General features: G+C 44.6%; 1 protein-coding gene across 3 annotated transcripts in view, besides 2 other annotated features; it reads left to right on the top strand.

The window, feature by feature from the left end:
- Positions 1-23,010, top strand: part of ATP6V0A4 (ATPase H+ transporting V0 subunit a4) — a 91,903-nt gene that overhangs the window by 3,674 nt on the left and 65,219 nt on the right. The window contains exon 2 of one of the 3 annotated variants that reach the window (NM_020632.3): positions 8,263-8,365. The exons of 1 other annotated variant lie outside the window; for it this stretch is intronic. The gene's annotated coding sequence lies outside the window, so the exon portion shown is untranslated. Of the gene's footprint in view, positions 1-8,262; positions 8,366-20,587; positions 20,707-23,010 lie in introns of those variants that run through there. One more of the 3 variants, NM_130841.3, reaches the window with a different exon arrangement.
- Positions 20,065-20,567: an enhancer, noted in NCBI's record as "H3K4me1 hESC enhancer chr7:138458701-138459203 (GRCh37/hg19 assembly coordinates)". NCBI's record gives its function as "activates a minimal SCP1, AML or CMV promoter by ChIP-STARR-seq in naive H9 embryonic stem cells {active_cell/tissue: H9 hESC(naive)}" and the evidence as "EXISTENCE:reporter gene assay evidence [ECO:0000049][PMID:30033119]".
- Positions 20,568-21,071: an enhancer, noted in NCBI's record as "H3K4me1 hESC enhancer chr7:138458197-138458700 (GRCh37/hg19 assembly coordinates)". NCBI's record gives its function as "activates a minimal SCP1, AML or CMV promoter by ChIP-STARR-seq in naive H9 embryonic stem cells {active_cell/tissue: H9 hESC(naive)}" and the evidence as "EXISTENCE:reporter gene assay evidence [ECO:0000049][PMID:30033119]".

Raw genomic sequence — 23,010 nt, 5'->3', positions numbered from 1 at the left:
ATTTCACCTGTTATCCCTGATAAGATTTCATGTGAAAAAGAAAAGAAGTAGGCAGAGAGTTTCCAGGGCTAAAAGATGGAAAACCTGCAGTCTGTGGCCTGGAACGGCCCAGGGAAGAATATTTCATGTTAATGAAGCTTCTCTTGTGATTCTGATAGGCCCCGTTGCCACCTGTCCATCTCGGGGAAAAGACCTCTCACCTTGAACTTGGGTTTTTCATCTCCAGTTAACCCAAAATCTATTCAGAGGAGAATTGTGGCCCTAACCAAGCCTGTGCCTGCCAAGCCCCAGCTCCCTCACAGAGATGGGGTTGATGGCTCTTCTTGCTCCTGGCTCTGTCAGGATCTGTTTTTACAAAATAATGTCAGGCTCTGGGTGGTTGTGGGACCGAAACATCTAGATGTGGACCTGAGCAGCACTTAGTTTGTGGAGGAGTTAACCTCACTCCCTGCCCTTCAGTGATGGGTCTGTAATTTGGAGAGAACAAGAGGTTCCCTTTTAGGAAACCTTGAGAACTACAGCTGTTAAGATCATGCCATAGAGTTAGTTGATCAAAGTAAGAAAGTCAGCAAGGAAGTCCTGGAGTCCACCATTTGGAATAATTTTTGAACACTTCCCAGGATGACTAATTTAGCTTGTTCAAAATTGCACTGGGAGGCGGTGCAGCTATGGTCCAGACACGCGGAGGTTAACACAAAGGAGGTCCTTCCTCTTGGCGAAAACAACCTTCCACCTAGGTCCTGTATCTTATTCCCTCCCATCTTCTCTGAAGTATATTTCTTAATTTCCAAACATACGGAGGTTTTCTAGTTATCTTTTTGTTATTGATTTGTAGCTTAGTTGCACTGTGACCTGCGAATATACTTTGATGATTTCTATTTTTTGATGTTAGTTAAAAGACACCATATGACCAATTTTTGTGGCTCTTGAATGTGTCATGCAGTTGTGGGGTCAGTGCTCCGGGTAAGTCCATTAGATCAAGAGTGCTAATTGTGTGGTTCAGAACATCCATATTTTTCCTGTCTTTTAAAATTTGGTCTAATTATTCTGTTGAATACAGAGATGATTGCGGGTTTCTTTCTTCCCTGTAGTTTTGTCAACTTTTGCATTCAATATTTGAGGCTGTAATTGAGGTACAAACAAATACGGAATTTTGACAACTTCCTGGCAAATTGAACCTTCTTTTAAAAAATCATTGTGTAATATCCCTCATCTCTTTTATATTTTTGAGATGGAGTCTCTCTCTGTCGCCCAGGCTGGAATGCAGTGGCACGATCTCGGCTCACTGCAACTTCCACCTCCCGGGTCCAAGCGATTCTTCTTCCTCAGTCTCCTGAGTAGCTGGGATTACAGGCGTGTGCCACCACCCCCGGGTAATTTTTGTATTTTTGGTAGAAACAGGGGTTTCACCATGTTGGCCAGGCTGGTCTTGAAATCCTGACCTCAGGTGAGACTCCCGTCTCAGCCTCCCAAAGTGCTGGGATTACAGGTGTGAGCCACTGCGCCCAGCCTTCTTTATCTCTAGTAATGTTTTTTTGCCATAAACTTTACTTTGTCTGATATTGCTGTAGCTATAACAGGTTTCTTTTGTTTTGTTTGGCATGCTAAATCATTTTCCCATCATATTACTTTCAACTTTTCTAAAACCCTGTTCAAGATGGGAGGATTTCTTGAGCCCAGGACTGTGAGACCAGCCTGGGCAACATAGTGAAACTCTGTTGCTACAAAAAAAAAAACAAAACAACAAAAAAAAAAACAAACCTGAGTTTGGTGATGCAAGCCTGTGGTCCCAGCTACTCAGGAGGCTGAGATAGGAGGATTGCTTGAGCCCAGGAGATCCGAGATGGCAGGGAGCCATGATGGAGTCACTACACTCCAGACTGGGTGACAGAGTGAGACCCTGTCTCTAAAATTTAAAAACAAACAAATCAATCTATCAGCTTACCAAGTGCTCTCTACTCTTCCCATCTAGCTTATGTTCCTTTTCTCTTTCTTCTCACTACTTTTGGATTGAGTTGTTGGGTTATTCCATTTTGTAGAGATTACGACATGCATTCCTTTTTTGTTGCTTTTTAAGATTATTTTATTCTGCAACCCAGGAGCATAGATCCAAGTTACCCTGAATATATGTTCTCACAAGTGCATTCTTAACATATCAAAGTCTAATATTAATTGACACTTTCACCACTTTCATAGATAATATGAAGACCTCAGAACTTTAACTCCATTTACCCACTCGCCCAGGCTGGAGTGCAGTGGCGCTATCTCGGCTCACTGCAAGCTGCCTCCTGGGTTCACGCCATTCTCCTGCCTCAGCCTCCCGAGTAGCTGGGACTACAGGTGCCCGCCACCACGCCCAGCTAAGTTTTTGTATTTTTAGTAGAGATGGGGTTTCACCGTGTTAGCCAGGATGGTCTCGATCTCCTGACCTCGTGATCTGCCCACCTCGGCCTCCCAAAGTGCTGGGATTACAGGCGTGAGCCACCACACCTGGCCTATCCACTCCTGATTTTTATACCATTGTAGTCATGTATGTTAGTTATACACATAGTTTTTAACTCAATAAGTCATTATTATTATTATTTTCCAAGTGAATATATGAGTGAAATTTATTAAATTTATTTACATGTTTACCGGTTTATTGTTCTTAATTTATTTCTGCATGTCTGGTCTTCCATCTGTGATCATTTTCCTTCTCTTTGAAGAATACCATTTAGTATTCCCTCAGTGGAGTGATTAACATGTTACTTTGTTTGTCTGGATATGTTTTTATTCTTCCTTCATTCTTGGAAATCACCTTCATTGGGTACAAAATGTAAGGTTGGCAGATATTTTCTTTCAGTGCTTTAAAGATAACATTTCATTTCTTTTGGCTACCATTGTTTCTGTTGAGAACTGTCCACCTCACTGGGGCTTCATTGCAGATAATTTGCCTCTTTTATTTTTTGGCTGTTTTTAAATTTTTCTTTGCCTTTGGTTTTCAGCAGTTTTACTCTGATGTGCTGAAGTATGGATTCCTTTTTTGTCCTCTTTGGAGTTTGTAGGCAATTGGATATGGAGCTTGATGTTATTAATAAGTTTTGAAAACTTCTCAGCCATCAAATACTACTTGTGAACCATTCTCTCCTCTCTTTTTGTGACTGATTACACATAGGTTAGATCTTTCCACTCCATCCTGTAATTCTCTTACCTTCTTCTTTATTCTTTATCTTTTTGTTTTCCTGTGTTTTACTCTGGATATTGCCTTTTGCCCAGTCTTTTATGAAATCTCTTGTCATCTGTGTCTAATCCTCTTTTATAACTACCCATTGGGTTCTTAATTTCGATTATCTTAGTTTTAGTTCCAGAATTTCCATTCTGTTCTTTTTTATATTTTTTTTTCTGCCAAACTATTCAGTCCTGTTTTTCATCTTCATAAACAGAGGGGATATAATTCCTTTAAAATCCGTGTCTGATAACCTCAGTCTTCGCCATTCTTTTCCCATTCGTTTATTTCCATTGTCTATTATTTCTGCTGTTTTCATTCATATGATCATGTTTCTTTGCATACCTGGTTATTTTTTATTGTGGGCAAAATTGCAATTACATACTATTGTTTATAGAAATAACTTGAGACCCAGGATAATGCTTTCTTCCTGTAGACATGATTTTTGTTGTTGTTGCTTTAATCGAGTGCTTGGGGGCAACACAAATCTGCTATCATGTCATTCCGGTCTCAGGAATTGAGACGATGTGTGTCAGTTTATTTTGGATACCTTTCCTTCTATGGTGTAGCCCTTTAGAAATTTCATCCCCAAGGAAATAACCAAAGATGAGCACAAAAATGCATATCCAAAGTTCTCCATCTCAATATTACAATGTTTGTAAAAGTGAAAGCTTGGAAGCAGTTTATAATGAAATAAAGGGTAGCTATTAAAACCGTTTTTGGGACTGGGTATGGTGGCTCACACCTAAAATCCCAGCATTTTGGAAGGCCAAGGTGGGCTGATCACCTGAGGTCAGGAGTTTGAGACCAGCCTGGCCAACATGGCAAAACCCCATCTCTACTAAAAATACAAAAATTAGCCAGTCCTGGTGGTATGTGCCTGTAATCCCAGCTACTCAGGAGACTGGAGGCAAGAGAATCGCTTGAACCCAAGAGGCAGAGGTTGCAGTGAGCCAAGATCATGCCACTACTCTCCAGCCTGGGTTACAGAGCAAGACTCTATCTCAAAAAAACAACAGCAACAGCAGCAACAAAAAACATTCTTGGGTACCATTTAATCACTTGGGAAAACATTTGCCATAGTATACAAAACAGAAAAGCAGGATATAAATCTTTATGTCAATATAATTCCAGTTTTGTAATATATACACATATACAATGAAAAATGTTTGGAATGAATCCTCTCAAAATGTTAGTAGTAGTCATATCTAGGATGTACAGTTTTGGGTGGTTTTAATTTTGTTTTTAATACTTTTTTGTGTTTCCATTTTAAAATAATGAATGTGTATATTATTTTTATGATCAAGAAATAAAATCAAGTTAATACTTTTTTTTTTTTTTTTTTTTTTGAGACAGAGTCTTGCTCTGTCACCCAGGCTGGAGTGCAGTTGTGCAATCTAGGCTCACTGCAACATCTGCCTCCCGGGTTCAAGTGATTCTAGTGTCTCAGCCTCCCGAGTAGCTGGGATTACAGGCATGTACCACCATGCCCAGCTAATTTTGTATTTTTAGTAGAGACAGAGTTCTCCATGTTGGTCAGGCTGGTCTCAAACTCCCAACCTCAGGTGATCCACCTGCCTCAGCCTCTCAAAGTGCTGGGATTACAGGCGTGAGCCACTGCACCTGGCCTAAGTTAATACATTCTTAAAGATTATTTCACAGGAAAGCAATACAGTCACAATGAAGCAGACAGATTTTACATATCTGTCCCATTACCTGGGAAAAATGTTCAATATCAGGGAATCTTCTTTTCCATTAAAAAAACAAGCTGGCCAGGCATGGTGGCTCACGCCTGTAATCCTAGCACTTTGGGAGGCTGAGGTGGGTGGATCACTTGAGGTCAGGAGTTCAAGACCAGCCTGGCCAATATGGTAAAACCCCATCTCTACTAAAAATACAAAAACTAGGCAGGCGTGATGGTGGGCACCTGTAATCCCAGCTACTCGGGAGGGTGAGGCAGAAGAATTGCTTGAACCCAGGAGGCAGAGTTTGCAGTGAGCCGAGATTGCACCACTGCACTCCAGCCTGGGCAACAGAGCGAGACTCTGTCTCAAAAAGAAAAAAAGACAAAAACAACAACAACAACAAAAAAAAACCCCCCAAAAAACCTTAACCTTTAAGTTTCACATGGTGCAGATTACTGCCTATCATAGCCTCAGCTCTTGGAGTGCTCGTGGTCACAATGGAATGTACAGACATATCCACGGATGGTCAGGACACAAAGAAGACTAGAAAGAAGACACAGATATAACATCGGATTACAATTAGAATCTCAGTGTTGGAAAAGGACCTCAGAGACCATCCGGGCCAATCTTTAACCTTGGAAGAATGCCCTCTGAATTAATCTGTTCTCACGCTGCTAATAAAGACATATCCAAGGCTGGGTAATTTGTAAAGAAAAGAGGTTTACTGAACTCACAGTTCCACATGGCTGGGGAGGACTCACAATCATGGCAGAAGGCAAAGGAGAAGCAAAGGCACATCTTACATGGTGGCAGGCAAGAAAGCGTGTGAAGGGGAACTCCCATTTATAAAACCATCAGATCTTGTGAGACTCATTTCCTATCATGAGAACAGCACAGGAAAGACCTGCCCCCATGATTCAATTACCTCCCACTGAGTCCCTCCCACAACAAGTGGGAATTATGGGAGCTACAGTTCAAGATGAGATTTGGGTGGGGACACAGCCAAACCATATGACTTTCCTATAAGGAAAGTAGGATATTATAGAGTTTGGTATAGCTGCATTTGACCTGTCCTGCTTCTTAAGGTTGTTAGTTGGACTTCTGCTTAAATGCCTCAAGGGATTGGTTTCTTACTAATTTTTAAGACAGCCAGCTCTTCTGTGGGTTAGCTCGGGTAGAAAAGTTTGTGAGTTACTGTCATCAAACAAGTAAGGGCATTTTAAGGTGAAGTTAATAAACAGTTGGAAGGAGGGCTTTTCAGCTCTCAACTCTATGATTGGCAATTTCTGGTTCCCTACAATTACTCTTATCATTTGTGCAAAATATTTCTGTTGGCACAACAATCTGAGCATGTGGTCAGATTCATCTTTTGTTTAATAAACAGAGAGATTTGTTCTCAAAGAGTAACTTTAAGCTAAAGTTTTTGGAAATAAGCTGCAGGTTTGTAATAAATATTCCGCCAATTTTTCTTCTCCAGTTTTGTTCACATAAAACCGAAGCGAACCAGATAGTCAAGTCAATGATTGTTTGGACCTGTCTTCCCAACATCCAAAGACCCCTCTCTCACTGTGTTTTCTGGCCTTTTCTATAACTTCCCTTCATTCTCTTTCTCTTTTTTTCTTTTTCCGTTTTTAAGACAGAATCTCACTCTATTGCCCAGGGTGGAGTGCAGTGGTGCAATCACAACTCACTGTAGCCTCCACCTCCTAGGGCTCAAGCCATCCTCCTGCCTCAGCCTCCTGAGTAGCTGGGACTACAGGCATGTACCACCACACCCAGCTAATATTTTTTATTTTTAGTAGAGTTGAGGTCTTGCTCTGTTACCGAGGCTAGTCTCAAACTCCTGGGCTCAAGCGATCCTTCCGCCTCAGTCTCTGGAAATGCTGGGATTACAGGTGTGAGTCACTGCTCCTGGCCTCTTTTTTCTTTTTTGAAAATGCTTTGTCCATATGTTTCATTTTATTTATGTATTTATTTAGAGACAGGGTGTTGCCTAGGTTGGAGTACAGTGGCTATTCGCAGGTGCAATCACAGTGTATTACAGCCTCGAACTCCTGGGCTCCAGTGATCCTCCCACCTCAGCCTCCTTAGTAGCTCGGGCTACAGGTATGCACCACCATGCCTAGCTCCTCATCTTCTCTTGTCCAAGCTGCCTCTAGGTTTGTTGGTTGGGAACACAAGAATCCTGAGTCAAGAGTCCTGGATTCCAGTTTTCATGTTGTCACTTGGAGTGTGACCTTGGAGGAGTCATGTAACCTTGGTGTCGATGCGACTTTCTAGAAGGGGAACACGAGGGGAAAAATCTGGGGGAATTATGCCTTCCATCCTTTGTGGGGAGAATTTTCTCTGGGGTCCGCAGGACTCTGCAGAGGGGATACGTGATGCCCAGAAAGGGTTTTGCTATGTATACTTCCTAACACAAAGGGGTGTTAAGTCCTGTGAGAAACAACTGGAAAGCTACCGTGATGGCATGAAAAGACCCTGAAGTGCAGAGCCCTGGGTTCTGCTTCCAGCTCTGCCGCCAATTACCTGCAGGACCTTGAGCAAATTGCATCTGCTCCCTGGAGTTCTGTTTTCTCATCTCTAAAGTAAGGAGACTGAATCAGGTGATCTCGAAGTTTCTTCCAGTGATAGATTTCTATGACTCTGTAGTCAATGCAGGATATTAAATGGAGAAAGAAGAGAAACAAGATAGTACATTTAAATTCTTTTTTTTTCTTTTTTAGAAAGTGGAGGTGGAAATCATGATAAGAAACTTACTTGTGTAATTGGGAGTAAATATTATTATAGAAAAGGCAGATAACTAGGGAGGTGCTCCCAAGTGAAAAACTTAGGCTAGCGCCGGGTGTGGTGGCTCATGCCTGTAATCCCAGCATTTTGGGAGGCTGAGGTGGGAGGGCTGCTTGAGCCCAGGACTTTGAGACCAGCCTGGGCAACATAGGGAGAATCTCTCTCTCTCAATCTGTCTCTCTCTCTCTCCTTAGGCTATAGGTAAAAAAATCCATCCATGATAAACTTCAGGGCATTCTGTTGTCTCTCTTTTTTTTTTTTCCTGAGACAAGGTCTCACTCTGTCACCCAGGCTGGAGTGCAGTGGTGCAATCTTCGTTCACTGCAGCGTCGACCTCCCTGGCTCAAGCGATCCTCCCACCTCAGCCTCCTGAGTAGCTGGGACTAGAGATGCATGCCACGAAGGCCAGCTAAGTTTATTTTGTGTAGAGACAGAGGCTTGCTATGTTGCCCAGGATGGTTTCAGACTCCTGGGCTCAAGCAATCCTCCCACCTCGGCCTCCCACAGTGTTGGGATTATAGGCATGAGCCATTGTGCCCAGCCCATTCTGTTCTCTTTATGATAAAACTTCATTTTCCTAAGTCTCATTTCCAGTTCCTCCATGACGTGGCAAGTGAAGACAGGAATGAAAGGAATGTAAAGCAGCTTTTCTCTGAAGAGAAGAAGAGAGAGAGACACAGCCAAGGTACGCTGAGGTGGAGAAGAGGGAAGCTGGAGGGCTCCGTGGTGGAGGAGGATCTTCTCCTAAGGAATGAGGTGGTCGTGTGCTGAGGGGTGTGGGGAGGAGTGGAGAGTAGAGGAGAGTGGAGCTGTCTGAGAGCCACTGGGAGGGCTCAGTGTCCTAGGACGTGATCTAGAGGACAGAAAGTGGTAGAACAGCAGGGAGTGCCCCACTGGCGTTGGATGGCAGCAGTGAGCACTGAGACACATTCCTGGAAAAAGTCGTGGCCAGGAGGAAGTGGAAATGTGCATGGCAGGGATGATCCTGGTTCCAGCATCCGTAGATTTGATCTCAGTGTGCTGATTCATGAACTCTTGGACCTTACTATCAATGAATTGCATTCAGTTGCACATGGGTGTGTTTGTGTGTGTGTGTGTGCGTGTGTGTGCATACAATGGAGGAAGTTGAATTCATTCTCTCTTTTTTTTAGCAACCTCAAATCATTCTTTTCTGTCTCAAACACTTTGTTTATGAGTGCATATTGTAAAGGGTGGTGGGTGGCAGAGTCAGTGCCTGGCCAACAGTGAAGAAGTATTCAGCTTGGCTGGGTGCAGTGGCTCATGCCTATTATAATCCCAGTACTTTGGAAGGCCGAGGCAGGTGGATTGCTTGAGGTCAGGGGTTCAAGACCAGCCTGGCCAACATGGTGAAACCCTGTCTCCACTAAAAATACAAAAAATTAACCGGGCGTGGTGGTGCACACCTGTAGTCCTAGCTACTCAAGAGGCTGAGGCAGGAGAATCACTTGAATCCAGGAGGTGGAGGTTGCAGTGAGCTGAGATCACGACACTACACTCCAGACTGGGCGACAGAGCAAGACTCCACTCAAAAAAAAAAAAAAAAGAAAAAAGAAAGTGAGAAGTATTCAGTTTGAGTGGATGATAAAATCAGTTATTTGAATGAAGGCTATCTGGAGGGAATTCAGTTCAGAAAAATCAGATGCTCTTTTTAGAAAAGTCAGATTGTTACTTTTCCAGCTAGATTATTATTTTTGGATTAAATTCCTTGCAAACATTTTAGCTGGCTCTGTATTTATCCTTTGTCATTTTCTAAATTACAATGATCTCCTCCTGTAAATTGATCTTGTACACTGAACATGTGATTGTGTGCAATATTTTCCTAATCCTGGGTACAAGGATATGAGAACACAGGAAGCCCTGTGTTAAAGGAATGCCCGTTTTAAAGGCACGTAAGTGGAATGCTCATCTCTTCACCCTCAAGAGCCATTCTGTAGAAAGTCCTCAGGGCATGAAAGTGCTTTGCCGGGGACCTTTGAGGCTAAGTGTAAAGCTTTTGGAACTGGCAGTGTGCCCCAGACTTGTCTAAAGAATGGGAACAGTGGCCTGAAACACCAAATGTCAAAAGCAATGTTTGTTTGGATAATATAGAGGATTGATTCTGCCCTAAGAAAGTTGTTTCTCTCAAGACCGAATGCTGAATTTAAATATTATTTTCCTTCAAAGTTTTGAGTTGACTTTGAGAGTATATAAAAATATTATGTTTAGGCCAGGCGCAGTGGCTCACGCCTATAATCCCAGCACTTTGGGAGGCTGAGGAGGGTGGATCATGAGGTCAGGAGATCGAGACCACCCTGGCTAACACGGTGAAACACCATCTCTACTAAAAATACAAAAAACTAGCTGGGTGTGGTGGTGGGTGTCTGTAGTCCCAGCTACTCGGGAGGCTGAGTCAGGAGAATGGCGTGAACCCAGGAGACGGAGCTTGCAGTGAGCCAAGATTGCGCCACTGCACCCCAGCCTATGTGACAGAGTGAGACTCCATCTCAAAAAAAAAAAAAATACATATATATATATGTGTGTGTGTGTGTGTGTATATATATGTATATATATATATGTATATATATATATGTATATATATATATATACGTATATATATATATATATATAATGTTTAAGGATTCATAGGTGGATTAGTTTCTTTTTAAAAAATTCAATGGCACAAATAATTAGAGAAATAAGGCTGTATTATCTGGCTTTGGGCAAGTCACTTAGCCTCACTGTGCCTTACTTTTCTGCAAGAGTGGATTGGACTAGATCATCTATATCTTACCTGCCAATGGGCACCCTTTTGGGGGCTAGAGCTGTGTTTGGTTCTTCTCTCCTCCTTTCCTTCTTCCTTTACTCTTGAGGTTCACAGTAGGGAACTTAGAAAATTTACTCTGATTTTGGACAAATTGGACTGTGTTTGCTAATGCTTGGCCTGTTTCAACTTTCCAAGAATCAGCAATGCTATGAAATGTTGCACATAAAAAAATTGAGCTCAGACAGGAAACTTCTAGAGAAATGTCAAAGATGTCATGGTTCAAAGAGATTGTCTCAGATATACATCATGGGTAAGAAAAAGTAGGAGTTCCCATTTTAAAAGTTATTTTTTTGAGACAGGGTCTTACTCTTGTCACCTTGGCTGGAGTGCAGTGGTACAATCATGGCTCACTGTGGCCTTGCACTCCCGAGCTCAAGTGATTCTCCCACCTCAGCCTCCTGAGTAGCTGGGACTACAAGTGTGCACCACTCTGCCTGGCTAATTTTTAAATTTTTCGTAGAGATGATTTCTCACTATGCTGCCCATGCTGGTCTGAAACTCCTGGGCTCAAGCGATCCTCCTGCTTCAGCCTCCTAAAGTGATGGAATTCAGACATGAGCCATGTGCCTGGCCTCATTTTTAAAATTTTTAATTAAAAAAATTTTTTTTAAATAGAGACAGGGTCTTGCTATGTTGCCCAGACTGGTCTTGATCTCCTGGCCTCAAGCAATACTCCCACCTCGGTCCCCCATAGTGCTGAGGTTATAGGTGTGAGCCACCGTACGCAGCCATGGTTCCCATTTTCTAGATGTATCTCCCAACTAGAACTCACAGAATTTGGGGAGGGGAAGTTATCAACTGTCTCTTCTCCTGAAAATAAATAAATAAAACCCTCTCCTGGTGCTCCATTTCCTCTTTAGCTGCTGCCCTGCTCCCTCCTTTCTCTTCACAGTTGGTGTTTTTAAAAGAAAGCTGTAGTTGATTTCTGTGCCCATCTTTTTTTTGGAATGGAGTCTTGCTCTGTCCCCCAGGCTGCAGTGCAGTGGTGCAATCTCGGCTCACTGCAACCTCCGCCTCTCGGGTTCAAGCAATTCTCCTTCCTCAGCCTCCCGAGTAGCTGGGATTACAGGCATCTGCTACCACGCCCAGCTAATTTTTGTATTTTTAGTAGAGAAGGGGTTTCACTATGTTGGCCAGACTGGTCTTGAACTCCTGACCTCAGGCGATCCAACTGCCTCGGCCTCCCAAAATGCTGGGATTACAGGTGTGAGCCACCATGCCCAGCCAATTTCCATGCCCATCTTTTCTTCACCAGCCACTGACTTTCTCTGAGTCCCCAGAATCCTGCCCATTTCACTCCATTGAAGTGGATCCACGGGGTCCCCAGTAACCTCCAGATCTTTCTCAGCCCTCCCCTTCATGAACACTCCATGATTCTCAAGACATTTTCTTCTTTTGAGTTCTCATTCTTCTGATTATCCTCCTCCCTCTGTTTCTTGTTTGTCTCCTCTGTGCAGCCTTGAAATCCTGGAATTTCTCTGTATTCAGGCTTGGACCTCCACTGCCTCTCCCTCATTATGGGTTGAAGTGTGCTGCCCCATTCCATTCATATGTTGTAGTTCTAATCCGGAGGATCTGAGAATGTGGCTGTATTTGGAAACAGGGTCTTTGCCGAGATAATTAATTAAGATGAGTTTATAGCAGAGTGGGGTGGGCCCCTAATCCAATATGATTGGTGTCCTTATAAAAAGGGATTTGGACACAGACACACACATGTGAATGTGAAGGCATAGATTGGAGTGATGCTTCTCCAAGCCAAGGAATGCCAAAGATTGCCAGCAACCACCAGCAGCCAAGTAAGAGACCTGGAAGATTCTTCCTCACAGCCTTCAGAGGGAACCAGCCTTGCGTGGCATCTTGATTTCAGACTTCTAACTTTCAGGGCTGAGATAATACATTTCTGTTGGTTAAGCCACCCAGTTTATGGCACTCTGGTACCACAGTCCTAGGAAACTCATACACCCAATTCTGCGGTCCCCAGGCTAGTGGTTGTCCAATGTTTTTGTCTCAGGTCCTCTTTACACTGTTAAGAATTATTGGGGTCCAGGTGCAGTGGCTCATACCTGTAATCCCAGCACTTTGGGAGGCCAAGGTGGGAGAATTGCTTGAGGCCAGGAGTTTGAGACAAGCCTTGGCAACACTGTGAGACCCAAACTCTACAAAAAAAAAAAAAAAGAGAGAGAGAGACAGAGAAAAATTTCTTTAAAAAAAATTGCTGAGAAGATTAGGAACAAGGCAAGGACATTGTTCCTCACCACTCCATTTCACATCATACTGGAGTCCTAACTAATGCCATAAGAAAAAGAAATGAAAACCATACTGATTAGGAAGGAAGACATAAAATTTTATTCACAGATGACTTCATTGCCTGTATAGAAAATCTGAAAGAGGCTGGGCGCGGTGGCTCACACCTGTAATCCCAGCACTTTGGGAGGCCAGGGTGGGTGGATCACGAGGTTAGGAGTTCAAGACCAGCCTGGCCAAGATGGTGAAACCCCGTGTCTACTAAAAGTACAAAATAATTAGCCAGGCATGGTGGCAGGTGCTTGTAATCCCAGCTACTTGGGAGGCTGAGGCAGAGAATTGTTTGAACCCAGGAGGTGGAGGCTGCAGCGAGCCAAGATTGCACCACTGCACTCCAGCCTTGGTGATAAGAGCAAGACTCGTCTACAAAAAAAGAAAAAGAAAAAAAAAAAGAAAATCTGAAAGAATCAACCAAAAAAAGCTTTCCTGGAATTAAGTTTTTGTATAACAAATCCCTTTTTCTCCATACCTGTTCATAAGGACCAGCAGGAGCAGGGTGCTTTTAGCTGGCAAGGCCAGCAGTACACCTTCACGGTCCTACCTCAGGGGAATATCAACTCTCTAGCCTTGTGTCATAATTTAGTTTGCAAGGATCTTAATCATCTCTCCTGTCTATAAAATATCACAGTGGTCTATTACACTGATGACAATATACTGATTGGACCTAGTGAGCAAGAATAACAACTATTGTAGACTTATTGATAAGACATTTGGATGTCAGAGGGTGGGAAATAAATCAGACAAAAATTTAGGGGCCTTCTCTCTCAGTGAAATTTCTTTTTTTTAATTTTTTTTTTATTTTTTCTTTTTGAGGCAAAGTCTGGCTCTTTCACCCAGGCTGGAGTGCAGAGGCATGATCTCGGATCATAGCAGTCTCAACCTCCTGGGATCAAGTGATCCTCTCACCTCAGCTTTCAAGTAGCTGGAAGCACAGGCATGCACCACCACGCCCAGCTAATTTTTGTTTATTTTTCATAGAGATGAGGCCTCACTATGTTGCCCAGGTTGGTCTCAAACTCTCTTTCCCCAGCCATCCCTGACATTGCCTAATGGGCTCATGAACAAAGTGGCTATGGTGGCAGGGATGGAGGTTGTGCGTGGGCTCAGCAACATGGACTTCCACTCACCAAGGCCAACCTGGCTGTTGCCACTGCTGAGTGCCCAATCTGCCAGCAGCAGAGATCAACACTGAGCCCTCAAGATGGCACTATTCCCTGGGGTGATCCGCCAGCTATGGTACTGGGGGGTCCATAGACTGGTACCAGTCCATGGCCTGTTAGGAACTGGGCCACATAGCTGGAGGGGAGTAGGCATTTCCACCTGAGCCTCCACCTCCTGTCGTGTCAGCAGCACCATTAGATCCTCAGAGGAGCATGAACCCTACTGTGAACTGTGCATGAGAAGAATCTAGGTTGTGTGTTCCTTACAAATCTGATGCCTGGTGATCTGAGATGGAACAGTTTCATGCCCAAACCATCTCCCAACCTCCATTCGTGGAAAAACTGTCTTCCACAAAACAGGTCTCTGATGCCAAAAAGGTTGGGGATTGCTGCTTTACTGCATCTCTTAATATGACCCTGCTCTATAATTAGGGTCAATGGGAAACTGCAACAACACAACCCAGGCAGAACTACAAATGGCCCACACTCTTCAGGAATGAAAATTTGGGTCACTCCACCAGGTAAAGAACCACAACCAGCTGAGGTGCTTGCTGAAGGTAAAGGGAACATAGAACAGGTATTCTGTAGTGTAGGTAGTTATAAATACTGGATACAACCACATCACCAGCTCCAGAAACAAGGACTATCATTGTCAATCAGTATCTTTTCCTTTATTTTTTATGAACACACTTGTGCATATATATACTCATATTAAGCAAATATCTGTTTTCTCTCTTTTCCTTTTATCATGAGACATAAAATGTATTGATTTTATATCAGTATTTAACTATTGTTAATTTTACATCATAGTAATGAAGTTATGGGGTATCAGGAGAAGAGTATACACCACTCAAGCAGTTTACCTCCTCTTCTGGGGAAGAGATTAGTGCATTTTCAGTCGTATCATGTTGGGTAGAATTATGACCCTGTCATTGTCTTTATTTGGAGATTAAGTGTGGTTTAAGAGTTGCACATAGGTGCCAAGTTGACAAGGGTTGGACTTGGAAAGGTTAATTTTATGGTCAACTTGAGTGAGCCAAGTGATGTCCACATAGCTGGTAAAACATTGTTTCTGGATGTACCTGTGGGGGTATTTCTTGAATAGATTAGCATTTGAATGGGTAGACTGAGTAAAGAAGACAGATATTCCATCTATATGTCTATCCTTCCACCAATATTACAATCTTTTATTTATTTATTTTTTTTTAAGATAGGGTCTCACTTTGTCACCCAGGCTGGAGTGCAGTGGCATGATCATGGCTCACTGCAGCCTCGACCTCCCCAGGCTCAGGTCATCCTCCCAAGTCGGCCTCCCAAGTAGCTGGGATCACAGGCACACACCACAAACCTGGCTAATATTTTTATTATTATTATTTGTAGAGATGATAGTCTCACTGTGTTGCCCAGGCTGGTCTGAAACTCCTGGGCTCAAGCAATCCACCTGTCTTGGCCTCCCAAAATGCTGGGATTATAGGCTCAAGCCATCGCTCCTGGCCCAATACCACAGTCTTGATTACTGGTGCTGTACAGTAAGTCTTGAAGTTGGGTAGAGCGTTTCTCCCACTTCATTCTTCTATTCACGAGATCTCTGCTGCTACCACCGGGGCTGGAGGAGCAGAGATGCCTCATTACTGCTCTGCATGTGATCTTCACCATCAATGATCGGGGGAGGGGAGCTTATTACCAATGGATGGGGGTAAAAGTTCTGATTAGGTTTCTTCTGACACCCCCAACAGGGGCAAACAAGGGAGCCTTGTTACCACAGAGTGGGGCTGAATTCAGACTCCCCACTCGGCCTGGAAGTCTAGGCTCCCCACTTGGGCTTTGCTGGCAATGGGGTGGGGGGCAGGGCCATAGTTTTTTCTGTGGCGTTTAACTGGATTCGCGTGATTATTGTCTGAAAGTTTTCTTTCTTGGCAGACTGCCCCTTTCCTGGTCCTTTTGCTAGAGCGAGCAGGCTTTCTTTGGAACTTTTCTGCTGCACATGTACTGGCTTCTGCCGCACTGAGTCCGGAATATACAGATTGATTATCTGTCCCTTATCTGAAATGCTCAGACCAGAAGTGTTTTAGATTTCAGACTTTTTCAGATTTTGGAATATTTGCATATATATATATATATATATAAAATGAGATGTCTTGGGGATGGGACCCAAGTCTAAACACAAAAGTCATGCATGATTTTTTTTTTGTTTTTGAGACAGTCTCACTCTGTTGCCCAGGCTGGAGTGCAGTGGCGCGATCTTGGCTCACTGCAACCTTTGCGATTCTCCTGCCTCAGCCTCTTGTGTAGCTGGGACTACAGGCACCCACCACCACGCCCCGCTAATTTTTTTGTATTTTTAGTAAAGATGGTGTTTCACCACGTTGGCCAGGCTTGTCTCGAATTCCTGACCTCAAGTAATCTGCCTGCCTTGGCCTCCCAAAGTGCTGGGATTACAGGCATGACCCACCGTGCCCAGCCTCATGTATGTTCATATATACCTTACACACATAGCATGAAGGTAATTTTATTTTTCCCTTGAGGACTCTGAATGAAATATGTGTTGTGTGCCTGAGTTTTGATTGCGACCTGTCACATGAAGTCAGCGAAATTTTCCACTTGTGGTGTCATGTTGGTGCTCGGAGTTTGGGATTTTGGAGTATTTCCGATTTTGAATTTTCAGATTAGGGATACTCAACCTGTAGGAAGTAACAAGAAAACCCAGAGAACTCACCTCTGTGTTGTTTCTTGCATCTTCTGATTCTCAGAGGGTCTATCTTCTGTCCAGCTTTCACAGTCTGCTTATGTTTGCTGTATATATACTGTACAGGGTTTTTATTTTTACTGGTTGGGAAGAAAAAGTATTTCTACTCCCTTTTTCCAGATGCAGAAGCCAAAGTAATATATATGTGTGTGTGTGTGTGTGTGTGTGTGTGTGTATTTTTTTTTTTTTTTTTGAGACGGAGTTTCCCTCTCTTTGCCCAGGCTGGGGTGCAATGGCACGATCTTGGCTCTCCACAACCTCCTCCTTCCGGGTTCAGCTATTCTCCTGCCTCAGCCTCTTGAGTAGCTGGGATTACAGGCATGCGCCACCAAGCCCAGCTAATTTTTTGTATTTTTAGTAGAGATGGGGTTTCACCATGTTGGCCAGGCTGGTCTTGAACTCCTGACCTCAGGTGATCCACCCACCTCAGCCTCCCAAAGTGCTGGGATGACAGGCGTGAGCCACCGCGCCCGGCCATAATATTTTTAAAAATGTGAACCAGGTCATGCCATTTCCCTGCTTAAAATTTCCCAAGGGCTTCCCAATGCTATTAGAATAAAATTCAAATTCCTTATTGGCCCAGCAGACTTGGGGCATGGCTTGGCCCCTGCCTCCTACTCTGACATACCATACACATACTTTTTTTGTTGTTTTTTTTTTGAGACGGAGTCTCGCTGTGTCTTTTAGGCTGGAGTGCTGTGGTGCGATCTCGGCTCACTGCAACCTCCACTTCCCGGGTTCAAGCGATTCTCGTGCCTCAGCCTCCTGAGTAGCTGGGATTACAGGCACACGCCACCACACCTGGCTAAATTTGTATTATTAGTGGAGAGGGGAGTTTTCACCATGTTGGCCAGGCTGGTCTCGAACTCCTGGCCTCAAAGTGATCCTCCTGCCTCAGGCTCCCAAACTGCTGGGATTACAGGCGTGAGCCACCGCGTCCAGCCTATACTTCCACTTTCTAAGTAAGCCTCTTCTGTTTTTCAGATAAGGTCACTGAGGCCCTGAGGTTAAATAGCTTTCCCAAGGTCACGCATGGTAAATGGCAGAGCTGGGATCCTGACTCCAGTAGTTGGGCTGGAGCCTCTGCTCTTAACCATTAGGTACGTGTACTCTTTTCTCCACATGTTCCTGAGTGGTTTCTGAGCACCCAGACGTTTGAAAACTATGGCCCCACCCGCTGACTGGGAGACAAAGCAAACACCTGCCTTGGGGAAGAGCAAGATGAGAGGTAGGAGGGTGAAGTGGAGAGTGGAGGGAGGCACGAATTGAGGCCAGGGCTCCTAGTGCCTCTGGAGCTCATATGAAGGGAGAGGTAGAATCAACACAGTTCTTATCTTCCTGCTCTTCTTTGCAAATCTTGAGTTCAGCCTTTGGAACTTCATCCAGGTGTCTGGATTCTTGGACAGATCTGCCCTGGCAGGATGGGTGGGTGCAGCTGAGCTCCGCCTCTCAAGAAACGCAAGCAACTCCTTTCCTCCAGGGTACAGAGCAGGTGCTCTCTCAGAGGGCTGGGCCTCCACTGCCCCAGGTTCACAATCGCTGCCTCAGCTTAGCTGATTTTCCCAAACCGCCTACAGCTCCTCCCTGCTGCTTCCCAGCCTAAAGTTTGATTTCTCACCCTGTGTTCTCTAAACAATCGTTCTAATTTGATCATGCACAAGTATCACCTGAGGAGCTTATTAAAAATGCAAGTCTTGGCCAGGCATGGTGGTTCATACCTGTAATCCCAGCACTTTGGGAAGCAGAGGTGGGAGGATTACTTGTAGGCTAGGAGTTGGAGGCCAGCCTGGGCAACATAGTGATACCCTGTCTTTATGTTGTCATATTTTATAAAAATTAAAATAAAAAAATCAGCCAATGGCTGAGCACGGTGGCTCACGCCTGTAATCCCAGCACTTTGGGAGGCTGAGGCAGGTGGATCACAAGGTCAGGAGATCGAGACCATCCTGGCTAACCCGGTGAAACCCCGTCTCTACTAAAAATACAAAAAATTAGCTGGGCGTGGTGGCGGGCGCCTATAGTCCCAGCTACTTGGGAGGCTGAGGCAGGAGAATGGCGTGAACCCAGGAGGCAGAGCTTGCAGTGAGCCGAGATCGCGCCACTGCACTCCAGCCTGGGCGACAGAGCGAGAGACTGTCTCAAAAAAAAAAAAAAAAAAAAAAAATCAGCCCAATCATAGTGATGCACACCTGTAGTCCTAGCTACTCAGGAGGCTGAGGTGGGAGGATCACTTGAGCCCAGGAGGTTGAGGCTGCAGTGAGCTGTGTTTGCGCCACCACACTCCAGCCTGGACAACAGAGCAAGACCCTGCCTCTTAAAAAAAAATGCAAATCACAGACAATCTAGGAAACTTGAATCCTAGAATTAAGGCAAATTTAAGAATTATTGAATTTTAGGAGTGACTGGTATTTTATGTGTGTTTGTGTGTGTATATGTGCGTATAAAAGAATCCTTATCTTTTAGAGATACCTGCTGGAATATTTTGAAAGAAATAATATGATGTATGGGATTTGCTTCCAAATAATCAGAGGTGGGGAGGGGAAGTGGGTGGGGTGTGGATGATAGAACATTCATGAACTGGTGTGGCCAAGTAATGTGTACGTAGGGGTTCCCTGTACTATTTGCTGTACTTTTGCAGAAAAGTACAGAAAAGTTAAAAAAAAGCACCCCCCTCACTCATTCTGGGGTACCTTCTAAGGCCACTGGTGGGGAGAGTCCCTGTGGGGGATCTGTGCACCACCCTGGAGAAGCAAAGCTCATTCAAACAAACGCAGGTGGCTGTTGCAGCCCCGCACCCCTGGGCAAGAGAAATGCACCTAATTGGCTTGTTCTGCCCCTCGCACCCTCTGTCAAAGAAATAGGAAAAGACAAGACCCCTCCAAAGGAAAAGGGCACATATCACATATGCTTCTGTCTCTTTTTACCTGGGCCACAGCGGAAGCTGAATTTCAGCCATTGGGCATTTCATAAGGAGTCTTCTATTTTCCTTTGAAAGTAGAGTGTTTTGGTTAATAGTTGATAGGATGGTGAGTGTGATATTTTTTATTTTCCAAAACTATTTTAATTTTTTCATTTATATATGTATATACACACATATATACACACGTATATACATATGTGTATATACTATATATAATGTATATAATATATAATATATAATGTATATAATATATATAATGTATATAATATATTATATATATAGATATATATATTTATTTATTTATTTTTGAGATGGAGTCTGGCTCTGTTGCCCAGGCTGGAGTGCAGTGGCGTGATCTAGGCTCACTGCAACCTCTGCTTCCTGGGTTCAAGCGATTCTCCTGCCTCAGCCTCCTGAGTAGCTGGGATTACAGGCACCCGCCACCACACTCTGCTCATTTTTTCGTATTTTTAGTAGAGACAGGATTTCACCATGTTGGCCAGGCTAGTCTCAAACTCCTGACCTCAAATGATCCGCCCACCTCAGCCTCCCAAAGTGCTGGAATTACCGGCGTGAGCCACGGCGCCCGGCCCCCAAAATTATTTTTCAAAGTTATTTTGTTTTTACAAGTTCAAGGGATGTTTTGGTTTACTGGGGTCCTTCTAAGGCCTCCAGGAATCTTGTCCTCAACCTTCAGCTCCCTGAGGGGCAAGTTACTTTCATTAGAAAATAAATGAATGCTTCCTGCTGGGAACTTAAGGTCATGGCAGAGGGCACAGGTGGGGCGGGGGCTGAGCAGGCTGGCCGGTGGGGCAGGTTTGTCTTCACCCACAACAGGCCAGTGTTGATACAACAGAGCTGCCTCCTGGCTCTTTGGGAGCCTGGGAGGAGAAGGAGCCGGGAGGGGCGCTGCGGGGAAGCCACCTGCGGATTCACTGGCTGCTGCTCCGCCCAGGACTGCTAGCAAGCACGGAGGGCTGCCAGACCTGGGGCTCCCTGCTCCGTGCGTCAGGTTGGGGAAACCACCGTCTGCCCCAGACCCTGACCCAGGACCCGCCTGGAGGAAGCTGGGGTAAGAAGGGTGTTGATGCTGTGCTTTTGATCTGCATAAAGTGAATGCCTTGGGTCTCTGGTCTATGTTCACTTGGCTGTAGTTACTAGACAGGGCAGTAGGAGAGCTTTGAATTCATCTTGGTGTCAAAAGGCACAAATGTGGGCCCAGACCATGTGCACTTCCTGAGGGATGATGTTTATCCTCTGGTCTATACATGGGGTATTGCTTCTGGAGTACCCACTTTGTGGTGCTGTTGACCTAGACCGGTGTGGGAGTGGAAACAGGGAATGGTTCTAGCCTCGTGGACTTCACTGGTTTGTGTGTGGGGAATCCAGGCAGTTAAACAAGCGATTGCAAATGATTGCTCTTCTGGGGGCATGTAGGAGGGGGCTTAGCTCCTTGAGGGAGCTGGAGGTGTCAGGGAAGGCTTGTGGAGGAAGAAGATCCTTACATGGAGACTGGAGGAGTGACAGGGTCATGCGGGGCGTGGGATGGACGGTGGAGAGGAGGATATTGAGTTTCCAAACCCAGGGGAAAGCCTGGGCGAAGGGCCTGAAGGGGGTGGGAGCTGGGAGAAATGCAGGGTCCCTGGAGAGGCCAAAGCTGGAGGAGGACACAGAGGAGGCCAGGTCCTGCAGCCTTCGGCTGGCCAGCTCGAGGACTTTAGAGTTGGTCCTGTGTGAAACTGGGACAATGGGTAGGCCCAGTATCGAGCACACAGTAGATACTCTGTACGTGATAAAATTAAATCTACTCTGGAGGTGTGGAAATTCTTCCAGAAGGTTGACCTGGGGGGAAAAAGTGTGATTTGGCAGCAGTAGGGCCGTCGGGAGGATCTTTGGGAATAGCTTCTGTGCCCTCCTCCTCCCCTTGGCTCTCATGTGGCCTTCAACTTCACCATTGGAAAGAGCTTCACTTTCTTCCAACCCCTGGGAGGTGTCCTTCCCTGCCACCTGTTCTAAGTGACACTAAAGGCAGTCCAATGGGCAGCATGACTTGGATGGTCTATTAAGGAATGGAGAAATGTTCAGGAGTGACAAACTGCCCCACCCCAGAGTTTGGAATGCATTGATCGCTGCTGGGAGGCCTCTGATGACCAGGGCTCCGTTCCCTGGCTACGTATGCTGTGTGCGGGCTGGTGGCAATGGCTTCAAGATCATCCCCCAGTTTCACAGTTAAACTTTGGACATGCATCTGTTACAGTATGGTGGATGTTTTAATCTATTTCAGTCTAGATGTTTGAGATTCCCCTTTCAGGAGTGTGAGTCTTAGTCTTTCTTTAATCAGCAGTGTCAATACACACTTATGACTGTATGGTGGAACTGTGTCTTGCAGGTCAGTTTTGGCTAACCTAACTCGCACCATTCCCCTGCCCCACTCACCCGTGGGCATCCTTCTTCCATATACAGGACATACAGATTTATTTTATTCCTGCTGACTGCACAGGGCTCTGTTATATCACAGTTTATTTAATCATTCCCCTAATGATGGATATCTAGGTTACAGCCATTTACTATAATTATTACATACAATATTATAAGAAACATTCTTGTTCATCTGTTTCTCCATACATATCCAGGTCTATCTGGATAAATAGCAGTGGACATCTTGATTTGTGGGTATGAGGGATATAAGATTTGATAGACATTGATAAATTGCTCTCTGAAAAAGCTACAAAGAATTTACACGTTAACGTTGGATATACCCAATGGGCATATGGATTACCAAATCTCATTCTGATGACAAAAACTATTTTTCCTGACTAGGGAAATTGAAGACAAAGTATTCTGGAATCCAGAGTTGGTTGTGATACCCACAACTGAGTTCTAGAGTGACATTCGAGTGCATGAAAGGGCCTGTTTTCTCATACCCTCCACAACTTGAGTCTTTAGTCATATTTTAAAATATTTTGCCAGCTGAGAGCAGTGGCTCATGCCTGTAATCCCAGCACTTTGAGAGACCAGAGTGGGAGGATCACTTCAGTCCAGGAGTTCAATACCAGCCTGGGCAACACAGCAAGACTCTGTCTCAACAAAAAAATAAAACAACTAGCTGGGTGTGGTGGTGCACACCTGCAGTCCCAGCTACATAGGAGGCTGAGGCAGGAGGATCTCTTGAGCCCAGGAGGTTGAGGCTGCAGTGAGTCATGTTTGTGCCACTGCACTCCAGCCTGGGTGACAGAGCAAGACTCTGTCTCAAAAATAAAGTATAATATTTTGCCAATCTGATGGAGGGCATAAAGTGCTATCTTGTTTTTAGAATCAGGATAGCTGGGCATCCTGGTGCACACCTGTAGTCCCCGCTATTCAGGAGGCTGAGATG

The sequence above is a fragment of the Homo sapiens genome, chromosome 7 (assembly GCF_000001405.40).
Source record: "Homo sapiens chromosome 7, GRCh38.p14 Primary Assembly".
NCBI lineage: Eukaryota > Metazoa > Chordata > Mammalia > Primates > Hominidae > Homo > Homo sapiens.
This window is presented reverse-complemented; position numbering and strand designations above follow the sequence as displayed.